We start from the raw sequence: 16854 nt of genomic DNA on the forward strand, positions 1-16854 counted from the left end.
CTCTCGAATAGCTGGGACTACAGGCGCGTGCCACCACGGCCAGCTAATTTTTGCATTTTTAGTAGAAACGGGGTTTCACTATGTAGGCCAGGCTGGTCTCGAACTCCTGACCTCAAGTGATCCACCCGCCTCAGCCTCCCAAAGTGCTGGAATTACAGGTATGAGCCACCACACCCGGCCCTGTATTTCTTTTTCTTTTCTTTTTTTTCCCTGAGATGGAGTCTTGCTCTGTCACCCAGGCTGGAGTGCGGTGGCACGATCTCGGCTCACTGCAACCTCCGCCTCCCGGGCTCAAGCAGTTCTTTTGCCTCAGCCTCCCAAGTAACTGGGATTACAGGCACCTGCCACCACGTCCAACTAATTTTTGTATTTTTAGTAGAGACGGGGTTTCACCATGTTGACCAGCCTGGTCTCGACCTCGTGATCTGCCCACCTCGGCCTCCCAAAGTGTACTCTGTATTTCTTAAATTGGATTTGAGTATCTAAAACAGTTAAACTGGGCAATAACCAAATCCTCTTCTGTTTAACATATTCAGAAGATTCCTGAAGGAAATGCTTTAGGTAGAAGGGACCATGGGAAGGACTGGAGTGACCACCCTTCCCCCATTCAGAACCTGTATGGGCAAAAAGGGAGGCCTCAGAGGTCTGAAGCTGGGGGACAAGGGTTTTGTGCCCCATGGCACATCTGAAAACAGACCAGCCAGCCAGCACCACTTGCAAGTATATCTGGCCTACTCCGAAGTGCATGACTTTTCAGTTAAGGGCTGCCACGCATACACCAAGACTGGGGGACACTTGAGAGGGCTCTAAGAGCTGAAGTTGGAATGCCATTTGGAGTGCTGATTTAGAAAGTCTTTCTGGAGGAGGAAAATCTTGAGAAGATGCTTGAAGGCAGGACAAAATAGTTAGGCTTCCTGAGAGGTCAGTCCCAGGGACTCTCAAGCATCTTTTGAGTTGACTTTTGACCCACCTCACTGAGACCCATCATAGGCTGTCAAGAAGACTCTGTCCCCAAGTGCCCATCACCCACACCTCCCTTCTGCTTTATTGGTTTTCAAATTGCAGGTAGAGACCCATCAGTGGGTCGCAGCAAGCACTTTTTTAAAAAAATGAAAAAAGGCCGGGTGTGGTGGCTCACTCCTGTTATCCCAGAGCTTTGGGAGGCCAAGGCGGGTAGATAACGAGGTCAGGAGTTGGAGACCAGCCTGGCCAACATGGTGAAACCCCATCTCTACTAAAAATACAAAAATCAGCTGGGTGTGGTGGCACCCGTCTGTAATCCCAGCTACTCAGGAGGCTGAGGCAGGAGAATCACTTGAACCCAGGAGGCAGAGGTGGCAGTAAGTCGAGATCTCGCCGCTGCACTCCAGCCTGGGCAACAGAGTGAGACTCCACCTCAAAAAAAAAAAAAATGAAAAAGAATTTTTGTTGAAATGAAAATGAAACAGGACACATTTCATGAATACTTTTTTTTCATGTAAACACGTGTGTGTGCTGAGTCATGGTGTTCAACGTATATCTTTCCAGATGTCACTATCAAGCCTTGGTTATTTATTTCCAGAGCATGCAAATAAAATACACATGGGGTATCCCATATGGTAAGAATAACATATTTGCCCAAATCCAGCCTTTTTATTTCTGTTGATTGTCTTCTTTTGTAATCAGATTCTATTCATTTCTGAACATTTCACTTCAGAAATGGTTCACAGGACAGAGAAACTGCGACTTCATGTATCCTAATCCTGTTCTTTTCTCTTTGTACTGTCTCTGACCTCTATATTTTCCTTCTTATTTTCTGTCAGAGAAGGAAGTCTTTGTGGTCTTATTTCCAATATTTGAATTAATTCCAACATAGATCTCAGAGCTCATGGGGATGTCTAAAGATCTTTCCTAAGGTCTTTCCCAGCAGCTACTCCATGGGTCTATTTTTTTCTGTCTAAACTAGTGTTTCTGAAACTGTGTGTGCAGAAGAACCACTTGGGGAATTGATTAAAATACAGACTCCTGGGTTTTACCCAGTAAGTCTCAAGTGGGGCTCACGAACTGCATTTTTGACCTTCTCCCCAAGGGATTCTGATGCAGGTGGTCCGAAGACCGTACTTGGAGGAACACTGTAAACCGTGGAGAAAATTCAGCTCCTCCCAGAAAGCTTTCCCCCATTCACTCTTGATTCTGGTCACGCCACTCCACTTCCCTTCTGCAGGAATAGTCTTGGTTTATGCCACTTTATGTTTATTTGCAATCATTTGCATTTTGCCTGAAAAGTTACTTTCTCTGGGTATCCTCCCTCTCTATTAAATGATAAATTCCCCCAAAGAACTGTATCATTCATTGCTATTTCCCTAGAGTGCCCACTGGAGGGCCTTGCTCATGGCAGACTTCCCACAGACTCTACCTGCCTGGGAAGGAAGCCTCTCATCTACCCACTGCCCCTACCAGCCCCTACCTGCTGAGTGGGGATCCCCATCCAGGAGTGCTCAGGGCAGGGGGAATCAGTGTTATGTCCTGGATCAAACAGCATTGTTGATTGGGTGCTTTGGGTCTGACTTTGTCCTCTCCTCTCACCTCCTTAGGAAGAAGTGAATCGTAAAAACTATTGAGTCCAGATGACCCCCTGGGGACTGTAGCTTCATCAAGGGCTATTATATTCTTTCTTGTGTCCAGAAACACATCTAATAGTAGCAAAGACAGAGGGCTGAGCTGTAGGGCTAAAACTCGGTAAGGCAAGCTAGTTCCCCGGGGCACAAAATTTAAGGAGGCACTCACTTTGAGGCGCTGACCCTGTACTTGCAGAACCTGAGGGTTGAGTGCCTCCTTAACTTTTGGCCTAGGCACCTCCCCTGCCTCACCCTAGTCCCAGCCCCACTGGGCGGCCTAAGGCAAGCATCCTGAGGCCTGGATCCAGACAATGAAGAGAGAGAGAGAGAGGAGAGAGAGAGAGAGAGAGAGAGAGAGAGGGAGAGAGAGAGAGAGGGAGAGAGAGAGAGAGAGAGAGAGAGAGAAAGAAAGAAAGAGGGCTGAGGGAGGTGTGGCCTGGAGACAGTCTTGTTGCTAGATGAAGTGGCTCTTCAGGCAGAGGTCAGCTTGGCCCATTCTCCTGTCCATAGGAGCTGGCCTGTATGATAAGCAACTTGGTAAAACTGACCCTGAGTCCCTGAGTCTGTGCTGGGAGCGGTCCGTGTTGCCTCATCCGGTCCTGATGAGGCTCACAGTGCCTATTCCCCCAGCCAGGAAGAGGCCAGAACAAGCCTCAGGCCCATGTCCTCTGATGCTGAGTCCACTGGTTTTGTTTCTCTTTTTGTTTTTTCCCTTCATTTTCCTTCCACAACTCTTCTGCCTTTCATGGAAAAGAGATCCCATATCCCAAGAGTCACTTGTCAAAGGGATTAAAATCTTGACTGTCAGAAAGCTCATCCTTATATTTTATTCTTATTGCTTCTCCTGCCACCAACCACATTCCTTCCTATTTTACCCTCAGGGAACATGAAGAAGAGCCTGTCACTGGTCACTGGCCTCAGTATGTCAGCACCTGGGGACCTTTTGGTTCGTGGTCTTTTCTGTCTTCTTTTTTTCAGTCACATTAATCCATCTCCTTTGCAGAAGATTGTTCTTTATTTCCCCCCCGCCAAAAGAAGAAAAATTAAAAGAGAAGAGGAAGAAAAACAGTAGGAGAAAGAAGAGAAAAACTCCCATCTCCCTGAGCTGAGGGAGACTGACTGTCTGAAGGCAGGAGATGAGGGGGTGACCCCCAAAATGCTGGGTAGCCTCCATGCAGGCCATGACCCTGGGCAGAGTGGGCAGGAGCTCCGCCATTGCTGTGCCTGCCCGCATAAGTGGCTCTCGGACCAAATCCCTTCCCGGGCCCCAGACCCGAACCTCTCCCTTGGCATGTCCCAACGTGAAGGGAAGATGGTGAAGTGGCCACTGGAGAGAGGTCTCTTCCCACCTGGCTTATCTGGCTCACTCGGATACCTCCGCCATGGAGGAGTGGGATTTTCAGACCCCAGACGAGAGAACAGAAAGCTGAAGACTGGGGTCATGAACCCTTCCCCTCTCCTTCCCGCGGCCCTGCCATCAGAGATGGTGTGGCATCCCCATACATTGAGTCGGGTGGCTGGAGTGAATGACTAATGCATGTCATTTTCAAGCTGCTCTCTCTGAACAGGAAAGTACATTCAGATCCAGGTTTTAATTGTGTGTGATTTTAGCTGAGATGGCGTTAATTTATTTCCTTTGCTACTTCAGCGCTTCTTCCTCTTTCATCACGGTGAAATTATCTGGAATGTATCTTTTTTTTCTTAAGGACAAAGAGAAGAAGCTGATCTTGCTCCTTTTCCACTGATTGAGGTTTAGAACATTTTAGGGGCTGCCAGATGCTGTTTAGCGGGTGCTTCAGGATGGAGACCCTGTGGTCTCCTGCTGCCTACTTCCTGCTCTCCTACTACCGCATTTGGCGAAGGGAATGCTTCATGCTGAGGGACCCCTACTGCCCAGGCCGACCCCCTGACAAATCCACCAACACGGGGGAGTTTTCAGCCAGGTCTGGCTCCAGGCAGTTTCCAAAGCAAGGGGAGCTTTCTTCCTAGCATGACCTTCAGAGAATAGCAGAACAACCTGACACTCACAAAAGACTTCTTGGAGGAAGGAGACAGCATTTCAAAGAGAGATGAGAAGAGAGGCATCTAAGGCCCCCTGACTGGTGTTCCGAAGGTTGCACTTTCTGACTTTGCATGGGAGAGGGTCTGTCAATTGAGAAAGTGCATAGGGCCAGGTGATTATGATAACCCCCCAATACAATATTTAAAATCATTTTTTCTTTTCACTCAAACTTTCTTTGTAATAAACAAAAATACTATACATACTTTTGGGGATTCTACTGCATTTTGCTCCAGAATTTGTCCTCAGTTGAGAGTTGGTTCTTTTCTATGTCTCTGCACTAGCTAAGACCATTTTATCAAGCCTGACTTACTCTAGTTTTTATTATAAAAATTAAATTAAAATACTTTTTATTTTATTTTAATACTAATTTCAAATATAGAATTATAGCATCATGTTGAATATGCTTTTTCAAACTCTACTTAAATCCCAAATTGGAGATTCAGCTCCCTCACCCCTCCCTACTGGAGAATTGCTGAATGGCTGCCTTAATCTCTAGCACAGGAAATCAAGAAAGCATTGGCCATCTTGGGCTGAGACTATTAAAGCACCCTTTTGTCTCTTGTCCAAGTAGCTCTCCCTATTCTGTGAAATCAGAGTCTTCTTTGGTTATTCTGGCACATAGTAGGAAATTCAACAAACAAATGTTGCATAAATTTTACCCTTTTAAACTATTGTGCTGTGCCTGGCACAGGGCAGGCACCTGGCACCTGACAAGGTGCCCAGTATTAGCCATTGTTCCTAAGGCCTTGACACCCTGCCTCATCCACATGCCCTATAACCTGCTCTGTGTTAAGAAGCTCTAGCTGGTAGGATGGTAATTTTCCTAAGGTATCCTAGGACTTCACAAGACCGAAGTCCTCAACATCCTGATTGGCACAACTTATGATTCACCTCTAAATGTGACCACCTGTTTAGATACTGGCTTCTTTGGTTTTGGTCCGAGGCCTGTGCACATAGTAGGGCCTCAGCAAATGTTTATTGAGGGAATGAGGGAATGAGCTGGTGTCCTCCACTTGGCAGCCCCTCCAGTCACGTGACACAGAGCCTGAGGGAGGCTGGGGCCGGACCACAAAACTCCTTAGTGAACAACTAAGCCTCTTTGATTGCGCTGTTTGTGTACAGGGCTCTGATTTACCAGTACACTATTATGGCTTGAGAATCATTCTGGGCAGCCTATCTTTCCAGCATGGTTAGAGGTTTATTGGAGGCCAGTGTCACTCTGCTGATTAAAATTTGTTTCTGAGTTCTCCGTAGGTTGCTTTGAATAGCTTTGGAGTTCAGATAGCTCTTCCTTCCAATTGCCTTTGGTCATGTCCCAGCTGTGTCAGCTGCAGTCTCAGTCTCTCTAGGGTGATCATTATCTGTTCCCTTCCCAGCCAGGCCCCAGCCGAGACTTAATGGACACCTCTGACCCTGCAATGGAGACCCCCTGCCATGGTTCCCAGATGTTCCTAACTGTCCATTTACCCCCAACTGCCGTTTCTTAAAAACTTAACATATACTTACCCATATGATCCAGCAATCACCTTACTAAACATTTGCCCAAAGAAATGAACACATGTCCACACAAAAACCTGTACATGATGGTTCATAGCAGTTTTATTTGTAATGGCCCCAAGTTGGAAACAACCCAAATGTCATTCAATGGTTGAATGATTAGACAAATTGTGGTACATCTTGCCACTGGATACTATTCAACAACAAAAAGGAATGAACTATTGATACATGCAACAACTTGGATAGATCTCAAGGGCATTGTGTTGAGTGAAGAAAAGGTAATTTCAAAGGTACTGCATGACTCCATTCATAAGACATTCTCAAAATGACAAAATTACACAGATGGAGAACAGATGAGTGGTTTCCAGGGCTTGGGGATGAAGGATATGGTATGACTATAAAAGGAGAGCGTGAGGGATCTTTGTGAATGGAACAGTTCCGTGTCTTGATTATGGCGTGATTACATGAATCTTCACACGTGGTAAAATTGCATGGAACTAAACACACACGCGCGCACGCGCGCGCGCGCACACACACATACGCAATTGAGTTCTTTAAAACCGGCAAAATCTGAATGAGATCTGTAGATTGTATTGTAACTGTAACAGGTCCATGGCCCGATGTGTGTGGCAAGTCAATATGCTGAGACACCAGGCTGCAGCTGAGAAAGAAATTTAATCTTGGGGACACCGAATGAGGAGATAGGAGAAAACCTCAAATCCATCTCCCCAAGGAGTCCAGGGCTAGGGTTTTTAAGGGTTTTGGAGTGAGCCAAAGTGGGGATTGTTGACTGGTCACAGAATACAGAGAAGTCATGGGACGGGGAGATAAAGAAATTGTATTTTTGGGATGAGTCTGTTCCTCGGTGGGGGTCTTCAAACTGACTGACACCAGCTGTTTCACTGGAATTTGGTATCTGAAAAACATCTTGAGCAATTCTTAAACAAAAGCTGAGTGAATCTAACATCAGAAATTCCATCTATAGGAACGACGGGGATGCAAGTGGTCAGTATCCCGTGTTGCACGACTTTTGGTTACAATGAAGTGGATCAAAGTGCAGCCTGATTAAAGTTTAATTATAACTCTATTTCTGTCCAGAATTCTTGTTAACCCTGTGAGGACAGATTCAGTTCAAATGTCCCTTTGCTGCTTTTGATATTTTAACCAATGAAATGAATAAATTATATTTCTCAATATAATATGATATATTTTACTGTAGTTATGTAAGATATTACTGGTGGGGAAAATTGGGTGAAGGGTACGTGGGACTGCTCTCTACTATTTTGCAACTTCCTATGAATCTATAATCGTTTCAAAATAAATGTTTTTTAAAAAAGAAACTTCAGCTTTTATATTCCCACTGTTTGTCAGCCCCCAGTCTGCCTTTGATCTTGGCATGACGTTCGGGGTGGTTTCAGAAGAGCCAGATTCTTCTGGCATTCTCAAATATTAAGAATATAGCTAAAATGCTTTACTTCTCCTAACCTACAATGAATCCATTTTCCCCAAGTCATCATAATCTCATTTGGGAGCCCTGTATATTTCTGACTCCTGCCTCCTCTTGGGGTATTGTATTCTAAGTGGATTATCTACCCTGTGAAGTAGAACTATAAACTTATTTTGCTTATTTGTTTATCCTAAGCCTAATCAGCTTCACCTTCAAGTTTAAGGAAGATCCTGAATTCAATTACTATAGGACTTGCCTTCTGCTGCTGCTTTGTTTTTGGGCCAAGTCTGCGTTCCTTGATCCCGTGACGTGCTCCTGGTGATGCCAGGCTTGGCCCTGCAGTTGGCAGGGAGTATATAATCCTCCCTGCCCTAGGCGCTGAAAGAGCCGTTCCAAGGCTTGATTCATTCAATCACCCTCATCCCCTCCCTACAACCCAGGAACAACCTAGGAGCTCAGAACTCTCACTTTTCTGCCCAAATGTCTGGAAGAGAAAGACATAGGCTTTTTCCTGTTCCATCACACTTTGGCCCTGTGCATTACCATCTAGGCCCACCCCCAACTTTTTTTTTTTTTTTTTTTTTTTTGAGATGGAGTCTCGCTCTGTCGCCCAGGCTGGAGTGCAGTGGCCCGATCTTGGCTCACTGCAAGCTCCACCTCCCGGGTTCACGCCATTGTCTTGCCTCAGCCTCCAGAGTAGCTGGGACTACAGGCGCCTGCCACCACGCCCGGCTAATTTTTTGTATTTTTAGTAGAGACGGGGTTTCATCGTGTTAGCCAGGACGGTCTCAATCTCCTGACCTCATGATCCACCCTCCTCAGCCTCTCAAAGTGCTGGGATTACAGGCTTGAGCCACCACACCCGGCCCTCACCCCTATCTTTTGAATCCTGATCTTGTGGGGCTCCAGGAAGGTAGACAATCAGCCAGGAGAGCGTCTCACTCTTTTTCTTATCTCCTTTCAAACAGACTAGGCTTACCTGGACAGACCCCACAGTGATTTAGGGCAGAAAAGGTCTGCAACCAAGCATGCAACTTCATGCTGTCTCTCTTGGAGTACAAGTTCCAGAAGTTTATTTCCAGTGGGCAGTTCTGGTTTGTTAACTGGGAGAGTTTGGTGACAACAGGATGTGGGATTCTACCTGAGCTTCCCTGGCAAAAACTTGGAATCCATGCCCCACTCTCTACTTCCCATGGGCCAATTCTTCAGGAGGGGTTGAGGGGTAGGAGAAGCTCAAGAAAAAGACGTCCTTGGCCTTCTGGGAGCCACTTTGTCTTTCGATGCTCTGGCATTTTGAAGCACTGAGTTTATACTCTGAAGGATTACCCCTGCCCGGGGGCAGGAAGGCTGAGCTGCTGAGGGTGTGGACAGTTGGTATGACACTGAGGAGTATTGTGGGCACACTGGAAACATCCCCTGATGGGTTAAACACCCAGCACACACACACACACACACACACACACACACACACACACTCACACTCACACTCACCTGATGGGCCTGAGCATGCTTCTCTCTGCCATCTAGCCTGGCAAGCGGCTAAGGACACAAAGGATAAGGCCCATCTGACCTTGTTTGAGCCCTGACCCTGCCACTTCCTGGCCACGTGACTTTGGGCAAGTCTTGTAAACACTCTTTACTTCCATTTCTTTATCTTTAAATAGGCGTAATGAATAGCATGCATCTACCTGATAGGGTTGTCATGAGTATTAGAAGAGAATATATATAAAGTACCTAATCTGGTCCCTGGCATTTAGTGAGGCCTCAGTAAATGCAAGTGATTTTGACAATGCTGATCATGATGATAGTGAGTATGAATGTTTTGAAATCATTCCGTATATGCGTCCCTCATGTTTCAGCTTAGACACCACTTCCTCTAGGAAACCCTGCCAGACTCCACAGGGATAGATCAAGAGCCCTTCCTCTGGGTCCCCTACCACCCTATATTGTCTACCCTAACATTTTCACATTGCACTGTTTTGCCAACTAGACTGAGTTGAGAGCTGCATCCTTGTTTATCTATTCCCAAGGTTTAGAACAATGCCTGACAAATAGTAGGTGCTCAAGAGATATGTGTTGAATGGGTAAAGAGATGAATGAGTGAATGAAAAGATGATATGTAAATGTGGTACTCAAGAACCCCTCTCCTGGCTGGGCATGGTGGCTCACACCTGTAATCCCAGCACTTTGGGAGGTTAAGGCAGGCGGAGACTAGCCTGGGCAATGTGGTGAAACCCCATCTCTACACAAAATACAAAAATCAGCCAGGCATGGTGGTGCACACTTGTGGTCCCAGCTACTTGGGAGGCTGAGGTTGAGGATCGATTGAGCCCGGGAGGTGAAGGTTGTATTGAGCCAACATCATACCACTGCACTCCAGCCTGGGCAACAGAGTGAAACGTCTCAAAATCAAAAACCAAAAAACCCTCTCCTGGCTGGTCATAGTTGCTCATGGCTGCAATCCCAGCACTTTGGGAGGCTGAGGCAGGAGGATCAATTGAGGCCAGGAGTTGAGACCAGCCTGGGCAACATAGCGAGACTCCATTTCTACAAAACAACAACAATAAAAAAGAGAAAACATACCTCTTTATACCGGCACTAATCCTGCCTCTGGTCCTTGGCTCATGCCGTTTCTATCTGTGAGAATGTCTATCTGTATCTCCCCATTTTTCTATAATATTTACGTTCTTCAAGGCCCATGTGGAGTCCCTGCTTCCTCTCTGAAGCCTTCCCTGACTACTTCAACTCCCTGTGAACCTTGAGGGCCAGGATTTTACAGTGATCTGCTACATAGCCCCAGAGTGCTTGTAAACCTCAGGGACTCCATACATGTTTATAGGTTGAGAGTCAGAGCAGGCCAGCAGAGCCACAGACAGGACCGCAGTTGGGACCCACGGTGGTGCCTCTCCCCACCTCTTAGCTGGGTAACCTTAGGCAAGTTCCTTGCATTCTCTGATTCATTTTCTTCAACTGTCCTAAAAATGAAAAGTGCCTGCTTCAGAGGCGTGATGTGAGAAAGTACATGTGGAGCCTCTGACACACAGTCGTGTTTGCTATTATCATTACCCTTCCTTCTGCCACAACCGCTCCTGTAAGCTACCTACTGAATTCATTATGTTGTGCGGCACTTTCCAGCATCTTACCCTGATCCTTCTTCTTCTTCTTTTTTTTTTCCAAGATGGAGTTTCACTCTGTCACCCAGGCTAGAGTGTAGTGGCACGATCTCAGCTCACTGCAATCTCCGCCTTCTGGGTTCAAGAAATTCTCCTGCCTCAGCCTCCCAAGTAGCTGGGACTACAGGCATGCACCACCACACCCGGCTAATTTTTGTATTTTTAGTAGAGACTGGGTTTCACCATATAGGCCAGGATGGTTTTGAACTCCTGAACTCAGGTAATCCCCCGCCTCGGTCTCCCAAAGTGCTGGGATTACAGGCATGAGCCACCACGCCCGGCCACCCTGATCCTTATTCTAATCCTGTAAGCAAGGCATTGCTCGCCTTGTTTTATATAGGAAGAAACTAAGACTCAGACATGTTGGGTAACATTCTAAACGTCACACAGCTAGCAAATGGCAGTGCCAGGAGTCAAGGCCAGGTCCATGGATGTTACAATATGCATGGATAACAAATCCATGCATGTTACAATATGATTCTGGGAAGAGTACAATGGTCCAGCTCCTTCTCTGCAGTGTTGTTCTCTGATGTTGCAAGTCATTTAGTCTTTCCCAATGTTCTTGTAATGAGATGGTTCAGATAGGTGGTTTTTGATAGCACTCTTGACCATTGTGTCATGATTTTCTACTCAACTGTGAACTCCTCAAGGGCAGAGACTAAATATCAGTCAAGGTTACTTGCCTAGCATCTATCATTCTCCTTACACGGAGTGGACCCATATGTGGTTGTTGAATGGATATTTGACTAACAGAGGCTGTGGTGGATGGATAGAAGAGAGGTGGGGGACTTATTGCATGCAAACAAATTGACATTGAGGTGTAGGACACAAGTCTAGCAAGGACTGGTTTTTTCCAGGCACTTTAGATTTTTAGTTATTCCCTTATCCCGCAGGGCAGTTGCACTCACATCTCACCCTGGTCCAAGCTTAGGAGGTCTTAGAGAGGCAAGTTCCTGGCTGTATTAGACCAATGTTAGACCTGGTGTATATTAGATAAGTGAGCTGCACTCTTCACCATTTCTCTGGTTAAGCATGAAGGGTTGTAACGAAGGGAGATGGGTGACACCAAGTACAGTTGCCATTGGCAGAGGGATGCCCAGGCTGGGACAAGAGGAAAAAGAAGAGGGGATTCTGTCATCCATCTGTGTCTGGGATAAAGAAGGCAGAGAGGAGAGTTACTTAGGCTGGCAGTGCTAAGGAGAGGGATTTCTGAATGGCTCTAGGTGAGCTTGTGGTTTGGGTGGCTGTAGAGAGAGAGTTGTCTTGACCTTGAGCTGTGGCAGGAGCTGGTTATCTGTGGTGGGCAAATAGGATTCAGCAACTGAGTGGCCATGACCCACCTTGCTTTTCATGATTTGAAATAGCTGTCTCCTGTTCTGTAGCCAGGAAACTCAGTCTTCTATACTCTACTCAAAGTGTTGCCTCCTCCATGATGCATTCCTGGAGGCCCTGGGAGAGGCCACCACTCTGCTCCGTGTTCCTCCATCATGATTAATGGGAGGCTGTGCTTGACATTTGTCGCTGCAGAGAACTTTTGGAGCTCTCAGCACCTGACCAAACACATCTATGTTCAAGGCCCACCATGGAAGTGGAATATAGAAGAGTGACTGTTGGAAATGGCCAACTTCTCCTCAAGAGTCCATGGCCGTGTCAGCGGGAGTCCCTGGGGTCATTCCTAGCTCTTCCCTGGGTGGTTCCCTCACACTCCACACTCAGCACCCTCATGCCTGCCTGCTACCTTCTTCAGGGGCAATGCTCTTGCCTACCTTTTCTTTCCAGAATCGCTCAGTTCACTCCCTGTGTATTTATTGATCACTGGCTTACTGTGGACTGGCCCACGAGTGATGAGAAAGGGGAGACCAAAGTGCCCTGAGGTGTCATGGTGTAGAAGACATGACTCATACACCATTCCCCACAAGGGAACAGCACCGTGCCATCAAGTGCTGATCTGGCCATCAGGTACTGACAGTGTGGTGGGGACCATGGGGGCTGTGGGTGAGCAGGGGGAGGGCTGGGCTGTCCCCTGAATGGGATAGAGCCCCAGAGTGACCATCGCTACCTTCCTTCTGCCAGACATCATCATTGGCCCTTCTCCCCTTGGCACCAGGGAGAAGCTGGTGAGGTAGCCGCATGGACTCAAGAGCAGTTTCCAGGTATGCCTGGCTAGAAGGCAGCAAGGTTTGGACCTGTGCCCCTTTCTCTGGAGGGATCCTGGGAGCTTCCCAACTGGCTGTCCCATGCAATTGGCTTTGGTTTCCCCACTAGCTTCCTTAAATATGTCTCCCACCCTCTCAGGGCCCCAAGGGAATCACTTTGGAAGATCTGTCACCAGAGGACCTCGGCTCTCCAGCCTTGGAGACAGAGGACCTGACACAGCAGACAGGCTGGGAGGGCCAAGGTGGAGGGGAGACATTGTTCCTCTGGCTACTTTATTTCTTTGGTTTGTGGCTGTTTGACAACAGCAGTAAAAACAGCTGATAAATTAGGTGCCTGGCTGTAAACTGCAGCACCAGCCATGGTGCAGGGAGCAGAAGTGCTCCCCGCCCTCCAGCTCCCTGCACACTCTTCAGACCCATCAGGGCCTCATCCTCTCCAGCACCCCCAGGTCTCAGTCCTGAGGCTCGGACACAGACAGGGGCAGGGGTAGGAGGGCCCGTGTCTCCCTACTCCCAAGTGCTTTCTCTGATCACAGAAGGACCGGAGAGCCGCTGTTGGCTCCTCAGAGGCTCTTCAAACAGAGAGATGTTTATATCTTTTCAGGGCGATCCAAATTACAAGCAGGGAACTGGAGCCTAGGGAAAGTAAACCAAGGGATACCAGATAGAGATTTTTTTTAAAAGCTTGGTTTAAATCAACTTCCAGAAGACCTCAAATGAGGCCAGTGGGGCGGAGGAAGTGCCAGAAGAAGAAGGCCGGCAGGTCTGGCTCTCCAGAGTCCAGCGTGACCCAATGCCCAGTTCCTTTCTGCCCCGGGCTCAGTTTCCCTCTGTGTACCGTGGCCTCTTCTCTCCCAGCTTGTTCAGGAGGCCAGTTAATCTAATGGAGAAGGAGCCCTGCAGAACTGAGGATGGAGTCCTGGTGCAGCTTTGAGGAGCTGCCAGGGCAGGCCAGATCTTCTGGCAGCCATCGACTGCATCGGTGGCCACAGGAGGAGGCTGGCCTGAGGCCTATATGGAGGCACTTGTTCTACCCCTTGGCAGAGACAGTCTGTCTGGTCTCCTGTCACTTCACCTTTCTGCTCCAGGCCCCGCAGGTGCCTCGGACCCTGGGTCAGAGCCCATGGGGTCTAAGGCATCCATTCGATAGTGCTCCATGCCAGACTATGCAAGAGGCCTTGAGGCATAGGTACCAGCTAGAGCTTGCCCTTAGAGTTCAGTTCCTGAACACAGAACACAGCTGCTTTGACTCAGCACCCCCGGTTCTGTTTCTCCACTCATCCGTCCGCCCCCTGGCACGGCTGTATAAAGCTTCTACAGCTGGGTTATTACTCTGCGTTTGTTTGTGTGTTTTCTTTGACGGTGTTAAGTCATTTTGCATGTGCATCCTGCCCACATGAGGACAGCTTGGAGAGCAGGAACTGAAACTGCTCCCTCTTATAGATCTGGGATTCTGCTCTGGGAGCAGGCCTGGTCACAAGGATGCCAATAGGCAGGGAGAGGACACCCGGAGTGCACAGGGAGAGGGCACCCAGGCCGTGTGTGTGTGTGTGCATGCATGCAAATAAATTGACATTGAGGGCTAGGACACAAGTCTAGTGGGGGCTGGTTTTTTCCAGGCATTTTAATTTTTTACTTATTCCCTCATCCTGCAGGGCAGCTGCACTCACATATGACCCTAGTCGAGACTTAGGAGGTCTTAGGGGGGCAAGTTCCAGGCTGTATTAGACCAATGTTAGACCTGTTGCATATTAGATGAATGAGCTGCAAAGCAATGTACCATTTCTCTTTGATATAGATGACATTTCTCACCTACTGGAACTATCTAGGTAGCATTTTGTCCAATCTAAGGAGCTGTGTGACTTTAGGCAAGTCACTTAACCTCTCTGAGTTCAGAACTTTTATCTTGGAAGTTAGGAAAGGGATCCCTGTGAAATTGTTATGAGGATCAAATAGATAAGAAACAGCTCTGAAAAGTCAAAGTGTTCTAGAGTGACTAAGATTCTATAACAACCATTAAGATTAGCAGAGATGGACTATGGCAAACACTAGAAGGAAGCTAAGAACTCTATAAGGCCTTAAATAGGCTGTACTTTCTTTCACCACTTGTGCTGGCCTGCCCATTCTTCTCTAGTGCTTTTTCTCTGTGTAGTGTGTGTATGTTTCATTTTACACACACACACACACACACACGAGTTGTCCAGATCCATCTGTACCTACATAGATTGCCCCAAACAGAGATATGTAAAATATACGCATAACTACACCTTTTCACACTGATAAAAACACCCACAAACATGCACACATAGATAAACAAAGACTCCCCCAATCACATGCAAGCCAGTGAGGGTAAGTACGTACATACAGTACACACACACATCCCCAACAGCGGATGATTGATGGCTGATCACCACCCACCCCCTGCTGCCTACGGCACCCAGGGACCCGTATTTTTCTACAGTGTGGTGTCCTGGAGCATGAGTGAAGGCTCCTGGGGCTACAGCCCCATTCCTTACCACCCTCAGCCTGCACCCGGACCCAGGAGACGTTCAGGTGACTGAATGTCAATCTGCATGCATTTGAAGGAGTTTCTTGGGTCAAGAGTTCCCTTTGGGGCACTAGGCTGACATCCTGGGGCTCCCTTTGGCTATAGCTTATTCCTACTATAGCTGTCCGCAGTAGAGTGGCTCCTTGGTGGGTAACTGCTCCCCCAAGGGAGGGTCCTGAGCTTCAGGAAATGTGTTTATGGACCTCTAGGAATAGGCTCCATCTCACCGGGTGGGTTTACAACATAAGAAGTAGCTCCATATTAGCAGAATAGGAGTTAAAAGATTGTCCTCATTTCTGAGCTTTGGTTTCAGTTCTGAAAATTCTTCTAAACAAACCTGTTCAGCTCCAGATGTTCAGACCCACCTCTGTCCTCCCAGCCCCAGCTCTGGGGCCATCAAGCACACAGGCCTGGGGCAGGTGTTCCAGCCACTCTGCGACTCCCCAGGAGCAGGGACCCAGCCCTCCTCCCACCATGGTGATCAGTACACAATTCAGTTGTGGAGCAGGGGGGTGATGAGTCAACTTTGGCTTTGGACAAATTACAAATGGCAGAATACCTAGAGTTTCCATGAGGCTTCACCCCAAGATGAAGCAAACTTAGGAAAGTTCCACTTTCCTCTTGGGTTTGGAATCAAAATTGGCTGCAGGGTACACAAGAGGGGGCTGGGGTGTGACTGTTGTCTCCTTCCCTGACTTCTTGCCTCCTGCTACCTGACAGAGGCGGTGTTGGCTGGGGTGTTGGCTGTGAGTGCAGGGGGTGCGTGGGTGAGTGGTAATGGCTCTCAGGATCTCTGCTCTGGTTCTACTGTGGCAGGAAGGAAAAGGCCTAACGCCAAAACATTCCTCCCTGCTGTCCCCAGTGCAGTATTTTTCCACCTACTCCTCTGGCTTCAGTATCCATTTAAATAGAGAGAAGGCAGGTGGGGATAGAGGAGAGAGACCAAGGGAACTAGAGACAGACAGACAGCGGAGAGGGGAAGAGGAAGAGGAAGGAGGACAGGGTGAGCGGGGAAAGAGGCGAGGCGAGTAGAAAAGAAAACGAGAGCGGAAAGAAGATAAGCAGAGGAAGTGGGGGCAAGAAAATGAAAAGGGAGAGAGATAAGAAGAGGAGGGTGGGGGAAGCTCAGCTTTGCGGGTGCTTGGCAGAGACTCCTCCTCCAGCTAACTGAGGAATCTGCCTTCCTAAAATCCATCTGGAGCCCAGCACACCCCAACCTGGGGAGAAGGAAGCAAGGCTGTGCCTCGCCTGGTGGCACGGTCCTGGTGGCGAGCTCCTGGGCTTCATGGGGATGTGTGAGCAGGGCTGTGCCACCCTCTGTGCCCACCTGATGGGAGATCTCTCCCCCGACCCCAGGGCCCCAACCATGCCTCA

General features: G+C 48.0%; 2 annotated features.

Annotated features, from left to right (window-relative positions):
• Positions 2417 to 3370: an enhancer, noted in NCBI's record as "H3K27ac-H3K4me1 hESC enhancer chr1:204661677-204662630 (GRCh37/hg19 assembly coordinates)". NCBI's record gives its function as "activates a minimal SCP1, AML or CMV promoter by ChIP-STARR-seq in primed H9 embryonic stem cells {active_cell/tissue: H9 hESC(primed)}" and the evidence as "EXISTENCE:reporter gene assay evidence [ECO:0000049][PMID:30033119]".
• Positions 3371 to 4322: an enhancer, noted in NCBI's record as "H3K27ac-H3K4me1 hESC enhancer chr1:204662631-204663582 (GRCh37/hg19 assembly coordinates)". NCBI's record gives its function as "activates a minimal SCP1, AML or CMV promoter by ChIP-STARR-seq in naive H9 embryonic stem cells {active_cell/tissue: H9 hESC(naive)}" and the evidence as "EXISTENCE:reporter gene assay evidence [ECO:0000049][PMID:30033119]".

Source organism: Homo sapiens, chromosome 1 (genome assembly GCF_000001405.40).
Source record: "Homo sapiens chromosome 1, GRCh38.p14 Primary Assembly".
NCBI lineage: Eukaryota > Metazoa > Chordata > Mammalia > Primates > Hominidae > Homo > Homo sapiens.